We start from the raw sequence: 25,364 nt of genomic DNA, 5'->3' as shown, positions 1-25,364 counted from the left end.
GTATAGTAACAATGGACTTTTGGGTCCACAGTATAGTATGGTATATGGTATAGTATAGTATAGTATATGGACCTTTGGGTCCATAGTATAGTAACAATGGGAACCATCTTGCCTTGATTTTTGAAAAGTTGTTTGCTTGCTGTCATCACTACTTTTCTTGAATTTAATCTTTATTATTCCCTTGTAGTAAAACACAATTGATCCAGAATGTCTGAAGAATATTCCTATTCTCTGAAAAATACGATAACCTTAAGGTCACAAATATTTTAGAAGTACTTCAAAATATTTTAAAAGGTAATAAAATATTTACTCCTAGCTTATGCCAAACAAAATAATAAAGCTTCAGAAGGCATTTAACCATTTCTGTTAACCATCAAGAAAATTTCTTATAACCATTAAGAGCACCTCACTTTTGTGATCAAAAGATCTAGGCAAGTGTCTGGCACAATGATTTGTTAAATTAATGAATAAACTGAATGCATTGATGTATAAATAAATGAGCATGTAGCATCTTCAAAGAGCAGTAGAGCTACCCTTTGTTCAAGTATAATCTTGTCAGTGACTAAGCAGTCCATTCCTAGTTTATTTTGTCTACTTCATTAAAGGCTTCTTCATTCCTTTTTAGTACATAAGTGACTCTGAATCATGCAAAACATCACCTATAATTTCATGTTTATTAAACTATTAGATTTTTCCAGCTTTAATTTTTTGTTACATAACTAACTTTTCTTGTTTGTTAATTAGCCATGAAAAAGGATTCTTCACCCTAAAGTATAGTATTTTCCCTAATGTATATATAAAATTTTAATCACAGCTTGTGATAAAAAAACTATTGAGAAATTACTCACAGAAAATACTTCATCCTTCTTTAATTGTCCATAGTCATAAAATAAAACTATCTAAATGAGAAAAATATCAAAACAGAGACTTTGAATCACATTTTTCAAGATATGACAAATATATCAACTTTTATATTTCTTATATTGGCACATTTTGTCTTAGTTTTTATTTCTATTCATTTCCTTGAATATAAACTCTCTGCGTGATTTGCTTCCTTTCAATTTTAATGTCCATCTTGCTCATTCCTTTTCTTGTATCCTTTTGCAACATGACTTTCTCTATAGGTGCCATCCACATTTATCCATAATTCCCTAAATTAACAATGAAGTCACCATTGGGTTTACCTGATGTTCAGAATTCTCTCGAACCCACTGCCAATCATATATTTATGTAGTCAAGCTATCTGAGGTTTTCGTTGTATGTTTTTGTTTCTGTGTAAATGGAGATTATCACAGCCGATGCTTTATCTGAGTAGTCCTTCCTTAGTATATGCAAGTAACTCCAGAGCAGCTGCAACCATATGCTTTATCTACTCTACTTACCCACATTAGAATTAAGATGAAGAACAGAATTTCTTTACTAAACTCCAAGTAGATAGACAAGGAGCCACAACAACTTGTACACAGGGAAAAAAATAGTTTTATTTTTCTCTTCAGGGTATTCTTGACACACTTTTCAGCCAGCTGTAATGTATTCTTGCTTAATTCACAGATTTATTTTGACCCCTCTCCAAGGTTGATGTAATATAAGCATCTCAACATTGCAGCAATTGCAGTATCCGGGAGAAGATTACTTGTGATAAATGAAAGCTAAGCAGGGGTCACTAGAACTTGCAACAGAACAAAACATATCATCTTTTCTGTCAAAATGTAAAAAAATAGCCTTTAGTTAAGTTACATAACTACATTTCCAGTTGTTAAATATTCTTTAGCATATAGTCTGAGAACCATTTTTAAACCATTACAATGACTTCAACAAATGTTCACTCAAGATGCAGGCAGGATCTTAAAACTTCAGATCTCATGTGCTTTATTCTCCTACTCCCCCACACCCCCCTATCTCCAGTGTTCTTCAGCAATAACAGATTATAATAACAATGTTTTTTGCTTGTCTTCTGTGGTTTGCCATCGGATTCAATAAATGGGTGTGTTAAGCCATTACTTTCAAACTATTGAGGCAGTCCAGACACTGTTGTTCTTCACCAATAATGAGGAAAGCCCTCATCTAGTATCATCCTGAACAGGTGATCAGCCACAGAGTGCTACTTAATTTTCTCTGCGTTCCATACTCACAAGGAAACAAAACAGAGACTCAAAGCACTTTAATCTTGAAGGAGAAGAAAAACGTGTAGGGACTTTCATTCTGTGAGAGTTTGGATCAACTGAGAAATTAGAGGGAAGAGTTCCCAAAAGAGACAACCCTCACTTCTGACACCAACTGCAAGATTGGGCATTCCCAAAACAGCCCTCAATTTCAATAATTTGCTAGACAGACTCATAGAACTCACTAAAAGGTCATATTAAAATCCTCCAAGGGAAGAAGTGCATAGGGTAGAATACAGCAACTACCAAAAGTGGAACTTCCATCATCCTGTCCGTCTGTCCCATGGAGACAGAATGCATTACTTTTTTGGTAACAATATGTGACAGTATGCATAGACTATTGCCAACCAGCAAACTTTACCCAAACTCTATTGTTGAGTTTTTGCTGAGGCTCCATTACATACGCATGATTGATTGACTATTGATGTGGTTTATTTCAGTCTCCATTTCTGGCAATCAGGGCATGAGCCAAAGCCCTACCCTCAATCACAGTGTTGGTCTTTCTGGCATAGCAAGACCCAATATAAGACTATAAGTGTGTGTCGAGCCCCCACCACAAATAATATTATTAGAATATCTGTTGATCTAATGTCTCCAGGCAAACAAAGATGCTCTTATCAGGTATGATGTCCAAAGGCTTAGAGATTACTTCCTAGAATCTAGGTCAAAGAGAACTATTTTGGAGTAAAGTTAAATTCTACTGCACACCTTCATTTTCTCTTAAGACTTTTATTTAGGATGCTTATCTTAATGGTAAACACACTTGTTATGATTGTAACTATGGCCTTAGGAATTTGGAAGGTCAAAGGAGACCTATTTAATAAAACGGATGTTAAGAAAGCTAGTTTATAGGAGGATATGTGTGGGGGCAAAGGAAGGAGTGATGATGAGTATGAAATGCAGAAAGATGCTTGGTCAGAGATCCAGACCTTGGCATTATGTCCTTGGGGCAAATACAGCAGGAGCTCTCAGGTTGACTGGCAATTACAAAGGAATGGACTGCCACCAACCTCTAGCACCTGCCTGGGAGGGGACAGACACAGCCAGTTCTGAGCCTCAAGATAGAAACAACATGAACAGCAGCCTGCACACCACATGTAGAGAGATTCCTAAAGCTCCCCTACCCAGCAGGATCTCCCTCCTGATGACTGCCAGAGCTCTGTCACCATGCAGGTAAAGTTTTGTGTTTTCAGAGGCCCCCATTAAAACGCAAATATGTTCAACCAGTAGTATCTATGAATGCTTTAGTTTGAAGTTGCTTATTGGGAAAAGTGATGGAAGTAAAGTTTTATTGGTGAAGGGAAGGAAGAACAAAAATATGAATTATGAAAACTGTATGAGAACACAAATGGAGAAAGATGAGAAAGGCATCCCCAACTCCACTCTGCTTCCTCTGTTTCTCAGCCAGAACAGTGCACAGGATGGTAAATAAAATAAAATTTTTTTAAAAAGGCAAGGAAGGGCCCATTGCAAGCCCTGTTTATCCCTAGGTAGCTGTGGGACAAAACCATAAATCATTAGAGTTAAAGATCTTAGTTGAAGTCTTGGCTCAGCTACTCACAAGCTGTGACTTGGCCAAATCAATTAAGCTTTCTGGGTCTCTGTTACCTCATCTCTAATTTGAGAATATGAGCTCCCTCACAGAGTGGGTGTGAGCTTAAATGAGGTAACATACAGGAAAGCACCTTGTTAAATGTTTTTTTTTTAACTACTATACATATATGTTACTATTAGTTGAGCATTTTGAAAAAAATTTATAATTATATATGCATATAATAATTTAAGAGCTATGATATATAATGTGTATATTACATATAATATGTATAGGTGTGTGTGTGTGTGTGTGTATTCTCCAGAGCATGTTGGTCCTATATGAAATAATAATACTCAAGATATCCCCATTAGAAAGGCTACAGAGTCAAATGGGTTTGAATACACAGAAATCTATATGCCCTTCTATGGGAGTAAAAATATACATTAGCATATTAAAGACTCTGGAAAGTCCTTACAAGAATGAATAGTATGTTAGGTTACTTAACAAAGCATTTTCCAAACTTATTTGAACACAAAAACTTTACTTCATGTAACACTTCTTAAAATACAACGGAAGCAGCGATCCAGAGAATAAATTTTGAGAAATATAGTACATTAGAGCAGATTATTCATGTTCAAAAATATATAATAATAATGCATCATGTCCTGCACATCCAACTTTTTACTGTTCTTGACCAATAGAGTGTCCAGCTCCTGTTGAGACCGAGATCCTAACCTGTGCAGCTACATTTGTACCTTTAATATCTTTTGAGTTTCTCTATTCTCTTGACTGTCACTACTCTCCTCCCTTTGTCTTATGTAGGATTCAATTTTTGGCTTTGTCTTCTCTGTTCTTCTAATTTGCCTCTCTCAGGAAGTGTATTATTAAATTACCCTCAAAAAAGTCTGACCAGGTTATCTGGGTTCCTAGGACCCTCCTATCTGAAAAATAACCCATTGGTGGCAGGCCCATCAGCTGCTTCCTCCTATCTTCTACCTCTACCCTTCAAATGCCAGACTCACCAGACTGACCTGAGAGCAGAGAACTTTGGGAGCAAGTTTCATCTTCTTTACCCAACATAAAATACTCTAATCACTTAAGGGAATTTTAATGATTGATTATCATGTTCGTAGTTTCTAACATTGACTAGCCTAAACTCCAATAGAGAATAGTAGAATGTTCCATTATAGCTACAACCATTATTAGTAGGCTTTTATGAAAAAATAAGGAATTTAGTTACAAAAATAACTAATAAGTGAAATTACCCCTACCAAACCAAGTGATAAATCACAATGGTCTTTGTTGTTGGTAATATTGTTAGTGTATTTCTGGTGCACAATACCCAGAAATAAATAAGAATGAGTAAAATTGCACAAGCACACAAGTGCACACAGGTATCATATACTTCAAATTCAAATGGCAAGGAAGATATATTATTACAAGAAATAGCAAGTGCAGAATATTGGCTTCTGCAGTAAAAGCACATTACCTTTCTTACTCAGAATTTCATTTCAAACTTTTTATCAAGTTCCTTTAAGAGAAAATGAGATTTAAATTTGCAGTTGACAAACTAAAAAGGGTATTTTAAAATCTTATTTTGTACCTCATAGAACAGGAGAAGTTTGATTTTTGAACACCAAAAAAACAAGCAAGAAAAGAAAAACTGTTGGCTGCAAGCAACAACATTGCACTTTCTGAGGTTTCAGTTACCCGCAGTCAACTGAGGTCTGAAAATATTAAATGGAAAATTCCAAAAATAAACAATTTATAAATTTTAAATTACACAGCATTCTGAGTAGCATGATGAAATCACATGCCAGTCCTCTTCATTCTGCTTGAGACAGGAATCATCCAGTGTATCCACACGATATTTACTACCTGTCCATTGGTCACTTAATAGGCATCTCTCCTAACAGATCTTCTGTCATGGTATCTCAGTGCTTGTGTTCAAGTAACCCTTCTTTTACTTAATAATGTCCCCAAGGTGCAAGAGTAGTGATGCTGGCAATTTAAATATGCTGAAGTGACATCATAAAGTGCTTCATCTAAGTAAAAGGTGAGATTTTTTGACTTAAGGAAAGAAAGAAAAATCATATACCGAGGTTGCTAAGATCTACAGTAAGAATGAATCTTCTGTGAAACTAGGAAGAAGGAAGAAGAAATTTGTGCTAGTTTTGTTCTTGCACCTCTAACTGCAAAAGCTAAGGCCACAGTCATTCATCTCACTTCATCTTAGCACATAAGCATTTTATCATTTTACATCATCGCAGGAAGTGAAAGGGTAAGTGCAGTATAATATTTAATCCCAAATATCTTTCAGAGATATTTAGAAACAGAGACCACAATCACATAACTTTTATTCTGGTATATTAATTGTTGTATTTTAATATGTTATTTTTAATCTCTTACTGTACCTAATTTATAAATTAAACTTTATCCTAGGTATGCATCATTTATAGGAAAAAACATAGTGTGTGTGTGTGTGTGTGTGTATATATATATATATATATATAGGGTTCAGTACTATCGGTGGTTTCAGGCACCCACTGAGGGTCTTGGAATGTATCCCCCTTGAATAAGGAGTGACTACTATACATGCTAGATTTGGCCATTTGAATTATATAACATTTTCTTTTCCTTTGGGACTTCATCCCCTTTCTATTCTATTACAGCTACATCTTTAAAATATACTTAAAATCTTCAGTGGCATTACACATACAAGGAGTTGAGATCCAAACTATTTGGCATGGCAATAATGTGTGTCATAATATTAACATCCAGCTATATGAGCCACAACTTGGCAAGTCCCGTTCCCCACCACGACCTCGTTCCTGTGTCAAGCTGAATGTATTCCTGAAATGCCATTCATCACTTTACAATTTGTTTTCCTGTCCCCATAACGGGAATTTAGGCTTTTCAATACTGGAGTTAGGTACACCTTACACAGGTCCTAAATAATCACTCAATGATGTGTATGTATAATGAGCAAAAGTTTAAATGAAGATAATCATTTAGCTCATACTTTCTACAGGAATACTGTTTCCTAAGAATACTGACTGGGTTCAAACACTAAAAATAAAGTATAAAATCTCTTATATCCCTTTCAGAGAAATGATATCAGTTTTGTTTTTCATAACAAACACGTTCTTCCATGTTAATGAAACAGCATTGCACAGTGGTTGCAAGGATGAACTTGGGAGCCAGATTGCCTGACTTCACACCTTGGCTTCATCATTTGCCACCTGTATGATCTCAGATAAGTTACTTAACTTCTCTTCACCTCAGCATGTCATCTGTAAAAGAAGACTATTAACAGCACTTACATTATGGGTTGTTCTAAATATTAAATAAGCCAACGTGTAAAGCGCTTAGGACAGTACTTAGCATGTAGAAAGCATGATTTATGAGTTAGCTACTAGTGTCACTATCATCCACATTAAACATGTTCTAGTTCACCACCCATTATACTGTGTAGAATCAAATTACCCTGGATAGTGCTAGGTCATTCTCTAAAGTTATCATATTTGCAATATCAGGGAATTCTCATGAAGTCTTTTTTAAACTACTTCTCATGGTGCTAACACTGGCCATGCAAAGTATACCTAAAAGAGTGTGTTAGTAAAAACACTTCCAAAGCTTCTATTTTCAAATCAATGTCAGGGAAGTAAATCTTCTGCGTAGATTCTAAATGACAGGATGCTCCTTTACTGGGCACACAGGAAGATGTCAGATAGTTACTACTCCACTTCCTCATAAACAGTCTATCCATCCCTTTTTTATGTTTGCTCCAATTCCCATCAATCTGCCATACTTTCTGTCAAGTTACATAAAGCAGAATATAGTTGCCTTATTATAGACTTGCTACAACCCTGATAGGAGCTCTAATCCAATGCATCCTTATGTGATGAACAAAGTAACACTGGATTTAACACTGTCAGCTCACGCTAAGAACATATATCAATATATCTAGATGATACAGGTTGAGTATCCCTTATCCAAAATGCTTGGGATCAGAAGTGTTTCCAATTTCAGATTTTGGGGGGATTTTAGAGCATTTACATATACATAATGAAATATATTTTCTAGGATTTTGGAATATTTACACATACATAATTATCTTGGGATGGGGATGAATATTTATACATACATAATGAAATATCAAGTCTAAACATAAAATTCATTTATGTTTTATATACACCTTATACATGTAATCTGAAGGTAATTTTACATAAGATTTTCAATAACTTTTTGGATTAAAAAAGTTTGTGTACATTGAACTATCACAAAGCAAAGTGTCACTATCTCAACCACTCTTGGGGACAATCTGTGGTTGTTTGGCACCATCATCATTCCTGACTGAATTTATACGCTACCCATAAGTAATTTTCTTAAATTATTCACACATAAGTACTTAACAGTAAAAAATACAACATATCATTAATAAAGTGAAAAAATAATGGGTTCAGTGTAACTTGTGGCATCATGTCAGTACTCAAAAAGTTTCAGATTTTGGGGCATTAGAGATTTCAGATTTTCTAATTAGAAATGTTCAACCTGGGCCGGGCACGGTGGCTCACTTCTGTAATCCCAGCACTTTGGGAGGCCGAAGTGGAAGGATCATGAGGTCAGGAGTTCGAGACCAGCCTGGCCAACATGGTGAAACCCAGTCTCTACTAAAAATGCAAAAATTGGCCAGGTGTGGTGGCGCACCTATATTCCCAGCTACTCAGGAGGCTGAGGCAGGAGAGTCACTTGAACCTGGGAGGTGGAGGTTGCAGGGAGCCGAGATTGCACCACTGTACTCCAGCCTGGGCAACAGAGTGAGACTCCACCTCAAAAAAAAAAAAGAAAGAAAGAAATGTTCAACCTGTTAAAAGCTGCATTTCACTTCATAGTATCTCCTAGTAACGCTCATTTAGGATTGCAGATTCATAAGCTTGTTCAATTAATGATTTTTGCATTTTTTCTAAATTAACTCTCCTTCTCACACTAATATTATAATTCAATTAAAGTAAGCCATCAAGTTTTCTTAGCATAATTTGCTCTTTATAAACCCCCTGCCATTTTCTTCCCATTTTCATTGTTTCAATAGGCCAACTGCTGAAATGAAGCTGCGAATAAGGAGAATATGTTTTCTCAACATCCTATATCTGTTTGCCATAACAAATTACCATAAAGCGAGTGGGTTAAGCAACAGAAATATACTGTCTCACAGTTCTGAAGGCTAGAAGTCTAAAATCAAGGTGTCAGCATGGTTGGTCCTTTCTGAGCACTATGAGGGAAAATTTTCCATTCCTATCACCTAGCTTCTGGTGGTTTGATGGCAATCTTTGGCATTCCTTGGTTTGCGGCTGCATCATCCTGATCTGTGCCTTCATCTTCTCATGGCATTCTCGCTGTCGGCATGCCTCTGTATCCAAATTTTCCCTCCTTATAAGGAGACCAGTCATACTGGATTCAGGGCCCACCCTACTCCAGTACAACCTCATCTTAAGTAATTATATCTTCCACAACTCTGTTTCCAAATGAGGTCACATTCTGAGGTACTGGGGGTTAGGACTTCAACATATGAATTTTGGGGGAACAGGACTCAACCCATAACACATCCCAAATTAACAGTGCTCTTGGAGACATGTCATTTTAAGAAGATCCTTTGACCAAACATTCTTTCTGCACAGAACAGATGGATCCTGCAGAAAGCCTACTAGATTCCTTGACTAGAACCTACTGGTTGGCTCAAAGTCATACTTGTGACCCAAAACTCAAGGTTTGTTCAGATTTCCCACACAGTGGGAAACAAAGCAGCAGTGGGGTCCTTCTTCTCTTACTTTCTGTACTTCATTTGTGATTCTCAGAGAATTTGCAATGAACAAGAAGCAATGCTTAGATAATGCTTTCTAGCTTAGAAGTCACATGTGGTATCTCATACAACCCTCATAAATAACGATCTGGAAGACAGAAGATTATGTCAGAAATTATTATAAAGTCATCATGGATGGCTTTGCAGGCTCTGGGGCCCGAATATATTGATATGGATCCAGATCCCTTTCTTTCTAGCTGTTTGACTGTGAACAATTTGCATGCCTTGGGTGGGTACAAAAGCGGGGCAAGTAAGAATATTCATCACATAAACTAGCTGTAACAATAATGTATTACAGGCAAATCATTTAAAATAGTATCTGGTACATAGTCAGTGCTCAGAAAAATTAAAGCTATTATTTTATAAATGATGATACTGAAGCTAGGGATATAAAATAACTTCTCCAAGATAATGCAGGTGGTCATTGGTGAGACCCGAACTCAACCCCAGAACTCCTGAGGACTTTTCATGTCATCAGACAGCATTCCAGCAATATCCCATTTTTAATGTACATAAGTATCACGCTTTGAAGTAACAGAGACATTTGGGGACTCTGCCATAGGCATAAGAGTAGAGTACCAAACAGTACTGTTTGGTGTGGTTTAGCTCTATGTCCTCACCCAAATCTCACCTTGAATTGTAATAATCCCCATGTGTCAAGGGCAGGATCAGGTGGAGATAATTGAATCATGGGGGGCGGTTTCTGCCATGTTGTTCTCGTGATAGTGAGTGAGTTCTCAGAAGATCTGATGGTTCCATAAGGGGCTTCCCCTTCACTCAGCACTCATTTTCTCTCCTGCTGCTCTGTGAAGAAGTGCCTTCTGCCATGATTGTAAGTTTCCTGAAGCCTCCCAGCCATGCGGAGTTGTGAGTCAATTAAACCTCTTTTCTTTTTAAATTACCCGGTTTCGGGTATTTCTTCACAGCAGCATGAGAATGAACAAATACACTGTTGAATGCTCAAGATACTCCAACTGCAGGACTTCCTGTTCAGAGAACTGGACTTAGGGAAGGAAAGTCCTTGCAGAATCCCTCAGGCACCTCTGCATAATGTTCTGAAATAGCTGGTCTGGCTGGACCAAGAAAGGCTAAGGAATTGCTGGCCTTGGACTTTAAAAAAGTTCTATTTTTATTATTTTTTTTTTTTGTCAAGCCCCACATGAATCTCCTAGTGCAGTCAAGAGAACTACTACTAGTATTATTAGTGTTATTTTTTTTTTTTTTGAGACGGAGTTTCGCTCTTGTTACCCATGATGGAGTGCAGTGGCACGATTTCGGCTCACTGCAACCCCTGCCTTCCAGTTCCAAGTGATTCTCCTGCCTCAGCCTCCTTAGTAGCTGGGATTACAGGCGCCCGCCACCGCGTCTGGCTAATTTTTGTATTTTTAGTAAAGACGGGGTTTTACCACATTGGTCAGGCTGGTCTCGAACTCCTGACCTCATGATCTGCCCGCCTCTGCCTCCCAAAGTGCTGGGATTACAGGTGTGAGCTACTGCACCCAGCCAGTATTATTGTTATTATTCCTTGAACTGGATGAGCTATTTTATGTCTCTGGGCAATATACCATTCTCTCTTACCAATTTCATATTCTTGTTCTGCTCATGTTTAGGAATTACTTGTAGTTTGTATTTTCAAATCTTTTGAGAAACCTTCTATCACCTCCCAATACGACATAGATGAACTCTCTCCATCATACTATTTGTGGGCTATATCATAATCACTGGTTTCCTGCTCTCTATTTCCCACTACATTAAGGATACCTTATTTGTTTTGGTCTCTGAAGTACCTAGCACACAGCCTGGTATATAAATATTTAATAACTAATTGGAAGACTAATAGGAAGATTGAATAGATGAATAAAAAATTACAATAAAGAATAAAAGAAAAAAAGAAACAAGACCTCAGAGTCTTAGAATCCAACCATTAGGCACATTGTTTTTTTTTTTTTGAGACGGAATCGCTCTGTTGCCCAAGCTGGAGTGCAGTGGCGCAATCTCTGGTCACTGCAAGCTCCGCCTCCTGGGTTCACGCCATTCTCCTGCCTCAGCCTCCCAAGTAGCTGGGACTACAGGCGCCCACCACCACGCCCAGCTAATTTTTTTGTATTTTTACTAGAGACAGGGTTTCACCATGTAAGCCAGGGTGGTCTCAATCTCCTGACTTCGTGATCCACCCACCTCGGCCTCCCAAAGTGTTGGAATTACAGGCGTGAGCCACCACGCCTGGCCAGGCACATTATTATTTAACTTGACTTCTGAAGAGAGAAAAGGAAAACTGAATAAGTGATGAGAAGAGGTGTGACTTTGTGTGTGATATTAACCAGTTAATGAAGCTCCACGTTGTTCTGCCTGGATCCGTAAAAATAAAAAAGAAAATTTCACCACCAGCCATCTAGCCTGATTTGCATGTGTTCAAATCTTCAAAGTATTTCTTTTGATTCCTTTAATCAATAGCTATTTTAGAAAGCTCTTCATTACTTCCTAATTGTCCAAATTCATTTTCTTCATTTTTCCTTATTAGAGGCAGATTTTTCAAATGAGTTAAGCAGATCAGCAATTTTAGAATCATTATTAACTTCAAGCACTTATCTCAGTTATTAGCATGGCCCTTCTCTCTCTAGGACTAGAGTCTTTTCTCCATTTTTAAAAGGCCATCCGGTTTATTTTCCAGACTTCTTTTTTCTATGTATCTCAAATAAAGTCAAGTTTACCCAATAATAAGAGCAATCCATGTTTACAATAATCCTGACCCTAGATAATTTAATGTGACACATCCCTGGATTTGGATGAAGATGCAGTGATTCCTCATTATATTAGCATATTAAAAATAAGTAAATAATTGGGATTTACCTAGATTTTAATCCATCCCAACCAAATAAACTAGTAAAGCCATTACCATGGTCCATAAAACATCTTACAAATAATTTAAAGGAATATTTTGATGCTTAAGTGCAGCATATTAAAATGAAAAATACACATATGCATTCACACTAACAATCCCACTGCTAGAAATTTGTCTCACAAAATGTAAAACACCACATTATTGCAACATTGATTATTGTGCGAAAAAACTGAAAACAAAATACATATCCATCAATAAATAGGTGGTCAAAAATCTGTGGTACATTGATATGAAATGTGCATCTGTTTGTATATGATTACATAGGCTCAGAGAAAGATACAAGAGTGTTCAACAGGTTGGTTACTGGGCATAGGAGAAGTTTGAGGGGAAAAGAAGGGAAGAAAAGGGAAGGTAAGAAAAAAAACATGAACATTCATGACAAAACAGTATATAGGATATGAACTAATTTATGTAATATTTTATGTGTGTATGAATATAAATGGGCATAAAAGGATGACCACCACAGTTATCTGAAAGTGATAGGACTGTACATTTTTACTGTCTTTTATTGCATATAATAGGCTTTTTCATAATTTAAAATTGTTTGATTTAAATTATTTTTATTGCCTCAATTATTATTTATATGATTTGAAACACAAAATTAAAATTATTCTCATTGTGATTATATATACTATGTGTGTGTGTGTATATATATATACACACATAAATACACATACACACACACAGACATACACATATATATATATATATACAGAGAGAGAGAACGAGACCAGACCGAGGATTATGTACTCATATATCAGAACTCAAATCCAGCCACTGAAATAAGAGCTAGGTTATAGGCAGTACCACCAGACTATAATCAACTTGTTTGATAGACTACATATTCTAACAACTATAATAATTTTTTAAAGTCTTTGCTGATTTTAATTTTTAATTTTCTTTCAAGATTCAACTAATGTCATTTCTTAACTCGGTTCCTCACTTGTTTCCCAAATGTTTGAATGATTTCCTAAGAAGTCTTCAAAATTCATTCATAAAAACCTCTGAAATTTACATACTTTTTGATATCTCATTTTGACAGGTGAAATGCAATACCATGTAGGAAATGTCTGAATTCCTATTGTTGTAATATATCCCTCAGAATGTATCACCAATTTCTTTTGTATATCATCGATTTCTTTTTAAATTCAATAGGAGAGCTACACTAAAAGAAGAAATATTGCCAAAATCTAAAGGTAAACACACTTGGGCAACAACAATATGCAAAATGCAATGCAGAGTCCTGAAAGGTGTTTTGTATCATTGGTCTTCTCTCATGACTTCCGGAATTTTAGGGTATACAAACAAACTTGGGGAAAAGAAACACTAATATGTCTCGAATAATCTAGTATTTTCACCAACCCAAAACTGAAAAATAAGAATACTAGCTACCTGAATTTCAAAAAACATTTTAATTACTTTGGTACACAAAGTGTTAAGAAATGGAATAATGAAAATATCTGACTACTAGTGTAGGAAATAAAGAATAAATAAATCCAGGTATAATTTCTAGGCCTTTATCATTACCATATGCCTCTTTAATTACCTTTCCCCTCCAGGACTTGATATTTTGCAAGATGTGCTCTACCAAAACAAATGAATTTATAAAGTAATAATTAATTTTTTAAAGTCCTAATGAATCAGTGATATGTGTAATTGCCCATTACAGCTATTGATCAAGATAAGGGAACCAGTGTTGCACATGTAGTTGAAATACTTTATTTAAAGGCAAACAATTTGTTAACATGGATCAATGTATGATTTTTGTTAGCTTCTTAAAAATAATGAAAATAGTGGAAAGTATACCTTAGAGCTCAAAGCATCCACTAACCTCTTTCAGAATCAGTATTCCATAGTCAAAGAATAAATTGAGGTTAAAAATCAGCTTTATTTTAATTCACAATTTTGTTTAAAAAAAAAAAGCAAAAACTAGCAAGCAACCCAAAGAGATTATCAGGATTAATTTAGAAGAATAGCTCTGAGGTCACCATGGAAAACCTGAGTCTTAACCTTATGCCAAGGGCAGAGGAGACAAATGGACATGAGTGATGAGCTCTCAGCAACCTTCCAATTTCACTTACAAAGATTCAAGTAATGGATACGAGAAAGCAAACATGTCAGCAGAAGATAATGAAAGCAATATTTTGGTTAGCTTTTCGTATCTATTTCTTTAACTTCTATAAGATAGGTTTTATTTTGTTTTTCCTGCTCTGAAAAGATAAATACAGATGTATTCTCATTCTCTGGAGACTAGAATCTGATGAGTAAGTCAAAACAAAGCCTTTTGAAATCACCCAGTCTTATGACAGATGCAGTAAAGGATAAATTATTGGCCATCCGGGAAACTTCCTGCACAAGAAACACCTTAAATGTACCTGTCCACAATTGACAGTTGATAAAGTTCCAACCTTGAAAACTAGGTTATGAAGTATTGGAACTTTGATAATCATGCAAGTTTCAGGTATTTTGTTTTTGTTTTTTAAATAAATGGCATGAACGTAGTAAATCTACTAATAAGTTAGTTTACTTATAAATTTACTAATAAATTTATTGTTAATAAATTCATTGAATTTATTAACAACAACTTCATGTTAATTATATTTTGTGCATTCACATACCACAGAGATCTCAGAGAAACCGTACCAGCAATTTCAAACTATGGCTCCATGAAGGATCTAACATCTGAGGTCAGAATGAGGTTTACTTATTATTAAGCTTCCATTTCCTTTACAAAATGAAGTGTTTTGTACTTACTGCTCCCCTTTGAACTCTAATGGTGAATCGTTAAAACTAAACTACAAAGCATATTTTGTGATGCCTGATTACACTATAAGCTAGAGGTTTTCCTCAGTGGCTAATTTTAAATGCTCACCAACCCCGCCAAGGACCTAACCATTAGTCTGAATTGACAAATTTGGCTGGCCCCTAAAAGCAAAGCAAACAGCACCAAATCATAATAAAATTGTCTTGTTGGTGACTCACTGTTATTGACAGTGGGGTCCATGAAATCCCTCTGAACACTGGCACTACTGGCCTTCACCATCTGAGCATTTTCTTCCATTGAAACAAGTTCCCACTGCAGCGATAGCTAAAAGAAGGTTGAATGAGGAGTGGGGAGAATAGAGTTGAGAGAAAGAAAAAAAATCATCACTATAGGCACCAATCTAGAAATTTCCACCAACACTTCCACAGCAAGGTTAAACAATGTTTTCATTATGAGTTAAGGCCTTACTGTCTAAAACCTTGCAGAACTCTGTGCGGAAGCAACTGTATCACCTCCAAGCTTGTAAAAATGCAGAACTCAGGCCCACCCCAGACCTAATATGGAGTCCATATTTTAACAAGATTCCAGATGATCTGTATTCACATTCAAATTTCAGAAATATTGGTCTAAAAAAATTCTATGTATAATAATGTGTAGTCAAAACAATCTAAAAATCAAACAAAAAATGCTAATAAGGACTAATAGGTGTCATACAACAATATAAAGAATTCATCTCGGCCGGGCGCGGTGGCTCACGCCTGTAATCCCAGCACTTTGGGAGGCCGAGGTGGGCGGATCACGAGGTCAGGAGATCGAGACCATCCTGGCTAACACGGTGAAACCCCGTCTCTACTAAAAATACAAAAAATTAGCCGGGCGTGGTAGCGGGCGCCTGTAGTCCCAGCTACTCGGGAGGCTGAGGCAGGAGAATGGCGTGAACCCGGGAAGCGGAGCTTGCAGTGAGCCGAGATCGCGCCACTGCACTCCAGCCTGGGCAACAGAGCGAGACTCCGTCTCAAAAAAAAAAAAAAAAAAGAATTCATCTCATAGTCATTAATTTCCAGGAGTTTATAACATAGTTAAGATGACATCATGGGAAGATGTTTTCACTGAGGTTTAACCAGTTTAAGCTAATAACACCGTGAACAGATGTTTTCAATAAGCTTAAAGCAGTGGCCGTGGCCTAGCACTGCATGCAAATACACAGTGACCCTTGGTGCACCCCTCACCACTAAACCTGCTTAACATGGGAAGCCTGTGATAACTTCACTAAGATGTTTCAAGGGCAGAAAGCACACTGGGGAAGGAAACAGGACGCCAACAAACTCCCCAAGGTACAGAATAGCAAGAGAGATGAATTGTTGTGCTGTGGTGCTGCATTGATTGCAACACACTGAAGCATTTTAAGTGACTTTGCAATAACCATAAATACATAATATAGGTAAAGGAGTTTGCTAAACTGAACCATTTCTCCTGGTGTGAATAAACTATATAATGCCACTAGTTCTGCTACTTGAGTGCTGTCAAACACACTCCAAAGGTTCTGAAATACTCTCACCAGAGGTTTGTTAAAGGATTGCATACCTCATCTTAAAAAGTAAACTGCCTCCAGTGTTCTGCAATTAATCATGACAAGCGTAAGTTGAGAAATCCCATTTAGATTTAGTACGATGATTTCCCTCCAGACTTTTGAATCAACTGTGGATTACAAATTTGATGATATGGGAAAGGGGCAAACAGAAAAAGGAGATGGAAGTCAAGGTGTAAACTGTCTGGTTTTAAATCAACTGTCTTTTAAATAAAGAGAGAATATAAAGCAGCACTTTCATGGGTCCTGCGTTGTGACCTATCATTAGAAACACTTAACAGAAAAGTTTTTTGTGCATTTTTGCACATCATGTGTGAATTTTCAGTTCAAAGAGATGCTCTGAATCTGCAGTGATACTAAAGATGCGGAAAAACTTGACAAGTATGATTGAAGTCAAAAACAAAGTGAAATCATTCCTTCTCGTAACAGAGTTAGACAAGAAGAATTATAATTTACAGTGTAGGCATCCCAGTTCATCATCCCACTGGTTCCAAACAGGGCAGCACCAGTAGACAGGCTGCTGCTCCATGTTGTACACCTGTCCATAGATGGTGTAGTACCGGGCCTAACAAATACAGGGATCTAAATTAGGGAGATATAGTGCTCCCTCTTAAGGCAGAGCTATCTCAAATCCATTAGAAATTTCTCTCTCCAATTCAAATCCTGCCATATATATTTGTGTTTATAGACAGAGAGATAGGTGTATGTGTATATATAGATAAATGTACCAATGTGCATATAGTGTATAATTTGTACATATTATACACACACACACACATACATACCTCACTCCATATGCAATTCAGATTCATTATAGGTATAGGTTAATGAAAACCAAGAGGGACCCCCATATCCCATGGTATAAAATATCCTAAGGATTGCTCAAGCTATCAAGAATAAAACCCAAAATTATGATAAGAATAATGAAATCTTGAAAGATAATGAGGTACATGCTTTTCAATTTGATATTGAAAGCTCCTCATAGGTTGGCTCCACTACGGCATGCACTCTCAACCGTATTAATATCACCCACAAGAAGGTGACAATTAGTTATTGTTATGAGTGGGGGATGAAAAGAATCTTAGTTGATACAATGGTGTGTGACCTTACAAAGGAACACAGTACATAAATGGATATAAAGAATATGTGTAATGTTAAAATTTCATGGTGCAGAAGGAAGCTTCAGGGAAAAAAATTGTTTAAAAAGGCTCTTTAGGGGGGAATACTAAACCAAAGTTTGAAAACACTGAGTTATTTTTGCTGACCTATCAGCAGATCATAATACCAAATATCTCCAGACAGGCTGATTTCCTTTCTGTCAAGTTGATGTCATTTTTAAATTTTTTTTTATTCCAAAAGTACTAACATATTCTCTCCCTTTCATATGCCACCCCTATATTTCTAGTCCAAATTGCTTTCATTATTCAAGGTCAATTTCAAGTTCCACTTCCTCTAACTTCTCTTTTCCTACCAAGCCAATGTAGATTGCTCTTTCTCTTTTCTCAAAAATTGGACTCACTGGCTGTACCATTTTTATGACAATTATTCACCATCTAGAATTGTAACCTAATATTTTGTTCACGCGTCTCTTCAATCAGGACTTAAGTATAAGTTTGTATACTTACATGCAAACAAAACAGATATGAGCATGGCAAAGATGCTGAACATCTTCAAACACTGCCTCTACTCCAAACTCAGTATCATACACAGAATGTGCAAAACTACTAATCTCTTAAGAATAAAACTATAAAACCTGTTTTACTAATTTATATTTGTTTTCCCAAGTATCTATAAGGTAATGAATTTTATTTGATTCGGTCCATTACCAACAAAGATTAAAACTCATGGGGGGGAGTACAAAAAGTCTAAATAAAAAGCCATTTTCAAAACAAGTACTCTAATGAACACGTCATATACCCTATAAATAGGATTTCCATTCTAATTTCTTTGAAAATAAATTTTTCTGCTACAGCATTATACTATCTAACACATATTGAGTACCTACTGTGTACCAAGCATTGTGCCACGTGTTAAATCTTATCTATGAAGATTTAATCAATTAATCTTCATAATAGCCATGTACAGCATTTTTTTTAACACTACAACTAAGACACAGAGAAATGTAGGAACTTAGCCTAAGGCCACACAGCTGTGAAGAGCCAGGGGAAATTTTCTGATTTAAACACCATTAAAAGTTCTGAGTTGGCCTAGTGTAGTTGCTCATACCTATAACCCCAGCAAAGGCTGGGAGGATCATCTGAAGCCAGGAGTTCGAAATGAGCCTGGACAATATAGCAAGACCCCTGTCTCTACAAAAATAAAAATTAAAAAATTAACTGCGCACAGTGGCACACACCTTTAGTCCCGGCTACTCAGGAAGCTGAGGTGGAAGGATCACTTGAGCCCAGGTGTTTGAGACTGCAGTGAGCTATGATTATGGCACCATACTCCAGCCTGGGTAACAGAGCAAGGCCCTATCTCTAAAAATACCCCACAAAATTCCTGAGTTTAGACGAAAAACAAAAACTATTCATCTAAAGGTTCAACATACACCCCCCCACACACACACAATGCATATGTAAACATCCACAATTATAAATTATTTAGTCTTATATTTTATTTAGTCCTATATTATTAGTGATCCAATATTTTTATACAATGGCAAACCCAGTTATTTATAAATGTCCCCAACTTTGTGTTAGCAATAATAGTAGTAATTATAAATTCTTTGTCAATCTGAAACCACACCTTTTTTTAACATTAAGTATCCTGAATTTTGATCCTTAACCCATCATCAACTATTTGTGTTAAGAGGTTCTTAGATATTTTGTAAAACTATTTCAAAACTTTGAAGGGAAAAAAAAGTCTGCATGAAGCCTTGACGCCTAGAAAGCATTGTGGACACTTGCTTTTTCTCTCCTCTTCTAGCCCGCCGAGTTAATCCTAATTCAAAGGCCATAAAAAAGTTAAAGAAGCTCTAGGTTTCAAAGTGTTACAAGAGTACCAAGGGCAGGTCAGACATTGGTTCACAACTGTAGATCCCCTGGATCCAAGTCGTGCTAAATTTAGCAAACCAACACAATATTCCTTGTTTCTGTCAGTTTTCTGATCTTTAGCTTTCAATGGTACACCATGCCATGAGGTAAAATTAGTGGCATCTAACCCAAAATACCTCAGACATAAATGAGGTCTAAAGTAATAATATATCTTGTCTCTGAAGAAAAATATATAACTCTAAATGTTCTTGGTGGCCACATCTTATGCACATTTACTTAATGAGCATAAAATTTATTGGATGAATATGTAGGTGCATTTGAGGTGTTTGGTGTTGATTTTCAATAATCAAAGAGTACAGAAGCACTCTTACCTTCTTTCATAGCTCACATACCAACTTGAGCCAGTACAGCCTTGTTTGCAGAGCTTGACAATGTGTGTGAATGCCCAAACACATGGGTGTGCAAGTCCAACCACAGTCACTTGCTGTTCTTCACAAACACTTGGCCTTGAATAAAAGAAGAATAGCAATCTAATCAAAATATATACGTTTACATATGGAGCATTGATTTCTCCATTTTCCACAAAAAGCTTGACATGTCATGAAAAATACATAAAGTAAGAAAGAAAAATACAAGCAATACAAAAACAACACCAGGACCAGGAAAAAGAAAAATCAGAATAAATTTTAAAGACCAGAAGAAATTTAGAAGATAGATATAAACATCATAAATTCCCAAAAAGTTAGAAAAATTGAGTTGTAAATTAAGTTCTGAGTGCTTTGGTAGCCAAAATTTTAAAAGAAAAAAAAATTGCAGGATTCTCAGTACTCATGAAGAAAAAGCAAGCCAGTTCATCAAGAGAAGTTAAATTTTTTCTGGAAATTAATTCTGAACAATATTTTCAATCTGCATGTTTAATTGGGTTTCTCGAGTAATTCTTGTTTAAACACAAGTATTTTTCCACCACCATCATTATATTAATATTTCCTTACAGAAAGCTTGTACAGATTTACAGGAATTTAGACCCACTATCTTTAATTTTTCAGTGAGTAAGGCTAACACTAATAGCCTGGAATGCCAGAATTCAATTTTTTTAATAATCTTTTGTGATTTGAGGAATGCTTTACTTAGTGATGAATGATTTACTAGTTCATATGAATTGTTTTACATGTGAAAACAACACTAATTGTAATAGCCAGTTGGGCCAACCACTCATGCTTTTCCTGCATTCAAGATCACTTACGTGCCATGCACGGACCCTGCTAGGAATATAAAAGATGATGCAGACTTTGATGTTCCTGCCTTCAAGAAGCTCACAGTCTGGCATAGTCTCCATATTCATAATCTTCTGAAAACAGAAATGAGCTCTGATTCAGAAGCTCTAGTCATCCCCAAAATAGCTCTGTGAACTTGTCCAGTGACACAATAATAATACCGATAAACGTCTTAGTACTTTTCACACTACATATCTTTTACATCACACTCTGTGACTGCATTCCCTTTTTGTTAACACTGTTTTCTGTGCCTCTAAATCTCACCATCTGATTTCACAACCTAATTCTCACTTCTAGATATATTTCTGAAAGCTGATTGTTTGGACCATTAACCTCACCTAAATTAAGTGAAGTTCAAGTTGAACTTTATTTATGAGTTTGCATAGCACATTTTAATACTTTAGGTAAATACAGTACTGTAATAAAACAAGGAATGTAAAAACTGCTCATAAGACAGGCATCCATAAAATCATCAAGCATTGTACAATGGTCCTAAAGAAAACCATAGCTTTTAAAATTTCCATATTAGATTATCTGTAAACTGATATACCTACACCTTCAATGTGCTATATTTTTTTGTGAGGCAACAGCATTAATTAGAAAGAGCTAACAGCATCTTTGGGTTTTTTGTTGTTGTTGTTGTTTGTTTTTTGTTTTGTCAATCATTTGAATTCTTACACCATATCCAACCTTGAACTCCACATTGCAATCTTCATCTATCCAACCATCCATCCATCCATCCATCCACCCCTACCCATCCATCTATCCATCCAACAAATACTTACTGTATGCCTATGTGTGTAAAGCATTGTGCCAGAAGCTTTCCCCACATGTGATTTGAGTATACATTGTTTACTTAGGAGGTACAGAAAACACTGGTCAGAGAGTGATGAAATTAGACAAAGAAGGAGAATTAGCAAATAAAAGATGCATTATCAAGCCAGCCAACATTGGAGATGTTGGAGGGTGAGGGAACCTGGGCATTTACACATTAATTTCTGTCAGTGATTGGTTAAAAGCTACTTCCTCCCTAGTATTTCAGGCCCAAAGCACAGCAGAGAGAGTCAGCTTCCAGAAACCAAAGTAAGTCCTCAAGCAAAGAAATGCAATGCTGGGAGCTGGAAGCCTGTCAGGTGTGCAGCAGTAAAGGAGAGGGCACCTGGGTGCAGCACTGACGGTTTCAGCTGCGGGTGGTACAAATGAAAGAACTAACACAAGAACAGAAAATCAAACACTGCATGTTCTCACTCATAAGTGGGAGATGAACAATGAGAACACATGGACACAGGGAGGCAAGCATCACACACTGCGGCCTGTCGGGGAGTGTGGGGCTGGGGGAGGAATAGCATTAGGAGAAATACCTAATGTAGGTGATGGGTTGATGGGTGCAGCAAACCACCATGGCACGTGTATATCTATGCAACAAAACTGCATGTTCTGCACATGTACCCCAGAATTTAAAGTATAATTAAGAAAAAAGGAGAAAAAAAGAAAATCCATATTCTCTTTGATTTGACAATCTAAATAGAAGAGAGAGAAAATAAAAAAACACCTAAATAGATATAAAATGTGGCATGCTAAGATGGAAGCAATTAAGGTGCTAGAATAGAGATAAGAGAAGCTTACGTAGATTCATTAATTAGGAAAGTCTCCAGTGAAGAGGTGACACTGTGACCCGAAGGATGAAAAGAAGGCAACCATGGAAGAGCCAGGGATGCTACTCAGACAGAAGGAATAGAATGAGCAGAGGTTCTAAAAAGGGAAAAAAGCTTGGCCTCCTGCAGATCTGAAGGAAGGACAAAGTGGCTGGAATGATGAGATGCTTGGTGTGATAGGAAGGGCCTTCCAGGCCAAGGAGTTTTTATCTTATTCTTAGTGCATAGGAAGCCACAGAGACTTTTAGAGTACTCATTTCTGGACACGTCTCCTATAGCCAGGATCTGGAAATGGATATATTATACTCTCCCTCTCTCTCTTTGATACCAACTGCAGCAAAGCTTTACAAGACTCAGCTGCCACAATACCACCATCCCCTTACTCCCCTTCCTGACTCCCAAAAGACTGCAGTCAGGGAGGGAACAAACCTTGGGCACCAGGATATTTCAGAAAGAATTCGTGTTAACATCCCTCATCGGAATCTCCTATCCTTTGAAGTCCTAAATGCCTCTCTTATTATGAGGGGATATAAACCCTCACCCCTAGCTGTTCCATGACCTATTCCCTATAGGCCACCATTGCATGCATGAGTTAAACTTTTCTCCTATTAATTTGTTTGTTGTCAATTAATTCAAAGGCCCCCAACTATTCAGACCTAAGTTGATACAGGGAAAGTTTTCCCTCCAACACAGAGAAGAACCAGGTTATTATCTCATACCAGTTAAAATGGCTACTAGTAAAAAGTAAAAAACAGAGGCTGGCAAAGTTGCAGAGAAAAAGGAATGCTTATATTCTGTTGCTGGGAGTTTAATTAGTTCATCCATTGTGGAATACAGTGTGGTGATTCCTCAAAGACCTAAAAACAGAAATACAATTTGACCCAGCAATTCCATTACTGGGTATATACCCAAAGGAATACAAATCATTCTATTATAAAGACACATGCATGTGTATGTTCATTGCAACACTATTCACAATAGCAAAGACATGGCATCGACCTAAATGCCCATCAATGATAGACTGAATAAAGAAAATATGGTACATATACATCATGGAATACTATGCAGCCATAAAAAAAGAATGAGATCATGTCCTTTGCAGGAACATGGCTGAAGCTGGAGGCCGTTATCCTTAGCAAACTAATGCAGGAACAGAAAACCAAATACCATATGTTCTCACATACGAATGGGAGCTAAATGATGAGAACACATGGACACATAGCAGGGAAAAACACACACTGGGGATCCCTGGGAATCGGAGGGTGGAGGCTGGGAAGGATGGAGAGGAACAGGAAAAATAACTAATAGGTACTAGGCTAAATATGTGTGATGAAATAATGTGTACAACAAAACCCTATGACACAAGTTTACCTGTATAACAAACAAGCATATATACCCCTGAACTTAAAATAAAAGTTAAAAGAAAAACTGGGTATTACTGATTTCTAATTAGGTAACACAGATGTCAAAGACTATTATCTGGATAATATTGATTCTTCAAAATCAATTAAAATAAAAAAAATCTATCACTCAATATACAGAAAAATCATGTAGTTGTGTGTTTAAAACTTTTGTATACATGTGTACTTAATATGTACTCTTTAATAGGAACATGGATATGTGAACTTGTGTGTACACATACATACACATATTCAAGCTTGTACATTTTGTTGATAAGTCTTTATACTTACCAAATGTTTTTCTCTGCCTTGTTTTGGATCCTGATAAATGCTGGAACATATATATCGGTATACATACATTGGAAAAATTTTGGAATATATATTTTGAAATTTCCCACTAATTATTTTTGGACTTTACTCATTACAATTCTGGCAACTTAATTCTTTACATATTTTGAGGCAATTTTGTTAAGGATTTACAAGTTGATGATTATTGTATATACTTGGTGAATTGCTCTTTTATCATTATGTAATGTTTCTGCTAACGCATTATAACATACTTTGTACTGTTTTATCATAAAATCTATTTGTCTGATATTAACATTTTTATATCCTCTTTCATTTGGTTAGAATTTCTTAGTTATATTTGGTCCTGTTACCTTAAATCTTGCTAGTTTTTTGAGTCAATAGTTGCATTTTTTAAAAATCTAATTTGTTAACTTCCATCTTTTAATAGGTAAACAGAGTTGCACACATTTTCATTACAAGTATAACTGTACCTATTTCATCATCTCATTTTGTAGTTTCTGTTTACTAGCAGTTTGTATTTTTTCTTCTTTCTTATGTCTACTTGATGGAAAATATTTTCTATATTCCATTTTCCAGAAGTTATTTGGACGAGTTCTAAATTATATTTCTAATATTTTACTTTTTTGTATTTTATACCTAAATACATGCTATTTTTTTGATGGAATAGAAAGTTATTCATTGTGATATAATGAAAAACTTGGTCTTTGTCCCATGTTCCTGGCATGGGGCTCCTAAAACCCTTGAAATATCCTGAGTGATATGCTAATGTGGTAACTAATTGTTTGTTACGCTAATGACATATCCCTGTGGTCCCTGGATAGCCTGATGATGGGAGCCATTCACCCGAAAGACCAACCATATGATTAGCAGGTTAGAACTTTACTACCTGACCTCCAGGGAGGGTAAAGGAACTAGAGATT

General features: G+C 36.3%; 1 pseudogene across 1 annotated transcript in view; it reads right to left on the bottom strand.

Moving 5' to 3' along the window:
* Positions 1-25,364, bottom strand: part of EGFEM1P (EGF like and EMI domain containing 1, pseudogene) — a 581,078-nt pseudogene that overhangs the window by 500,983 nt on the left and 54,731 nt on the right. Inside the window, exons 2-3 of the transcript NR_021485.2 lie at positions 20,178-20,312; positions 15,441-15,546 (exon numbers count right to left, since the gene is read on the bottom strand). The product of NR_021485.2 is annotated as an EGF like and EMI domain containing 1, pseudogene (transcript). The remainder of the gene's footprint in view (positions 1-15,440; positions 15,547-20,177; positions 20,313-25,364) is intronic.

The sequence above is a fragment of the Homo sapiens genome, chromosome 3 (genome assembly GCF_000001405.40).
Source record: "Homo sapiens chromosome 3, GRCh38.p14 Primary Assembly".
NCBI lineage: Eukaryota > Metazoa > Chordata > Mammalia > Primates > Hominidae > Homo > Homo sapiens.
The sequence above is the reverse complement of the archived record's forward strand: the minus strand, read 5'-3'. Positions and strand labels throughout refer to the sequence as shown.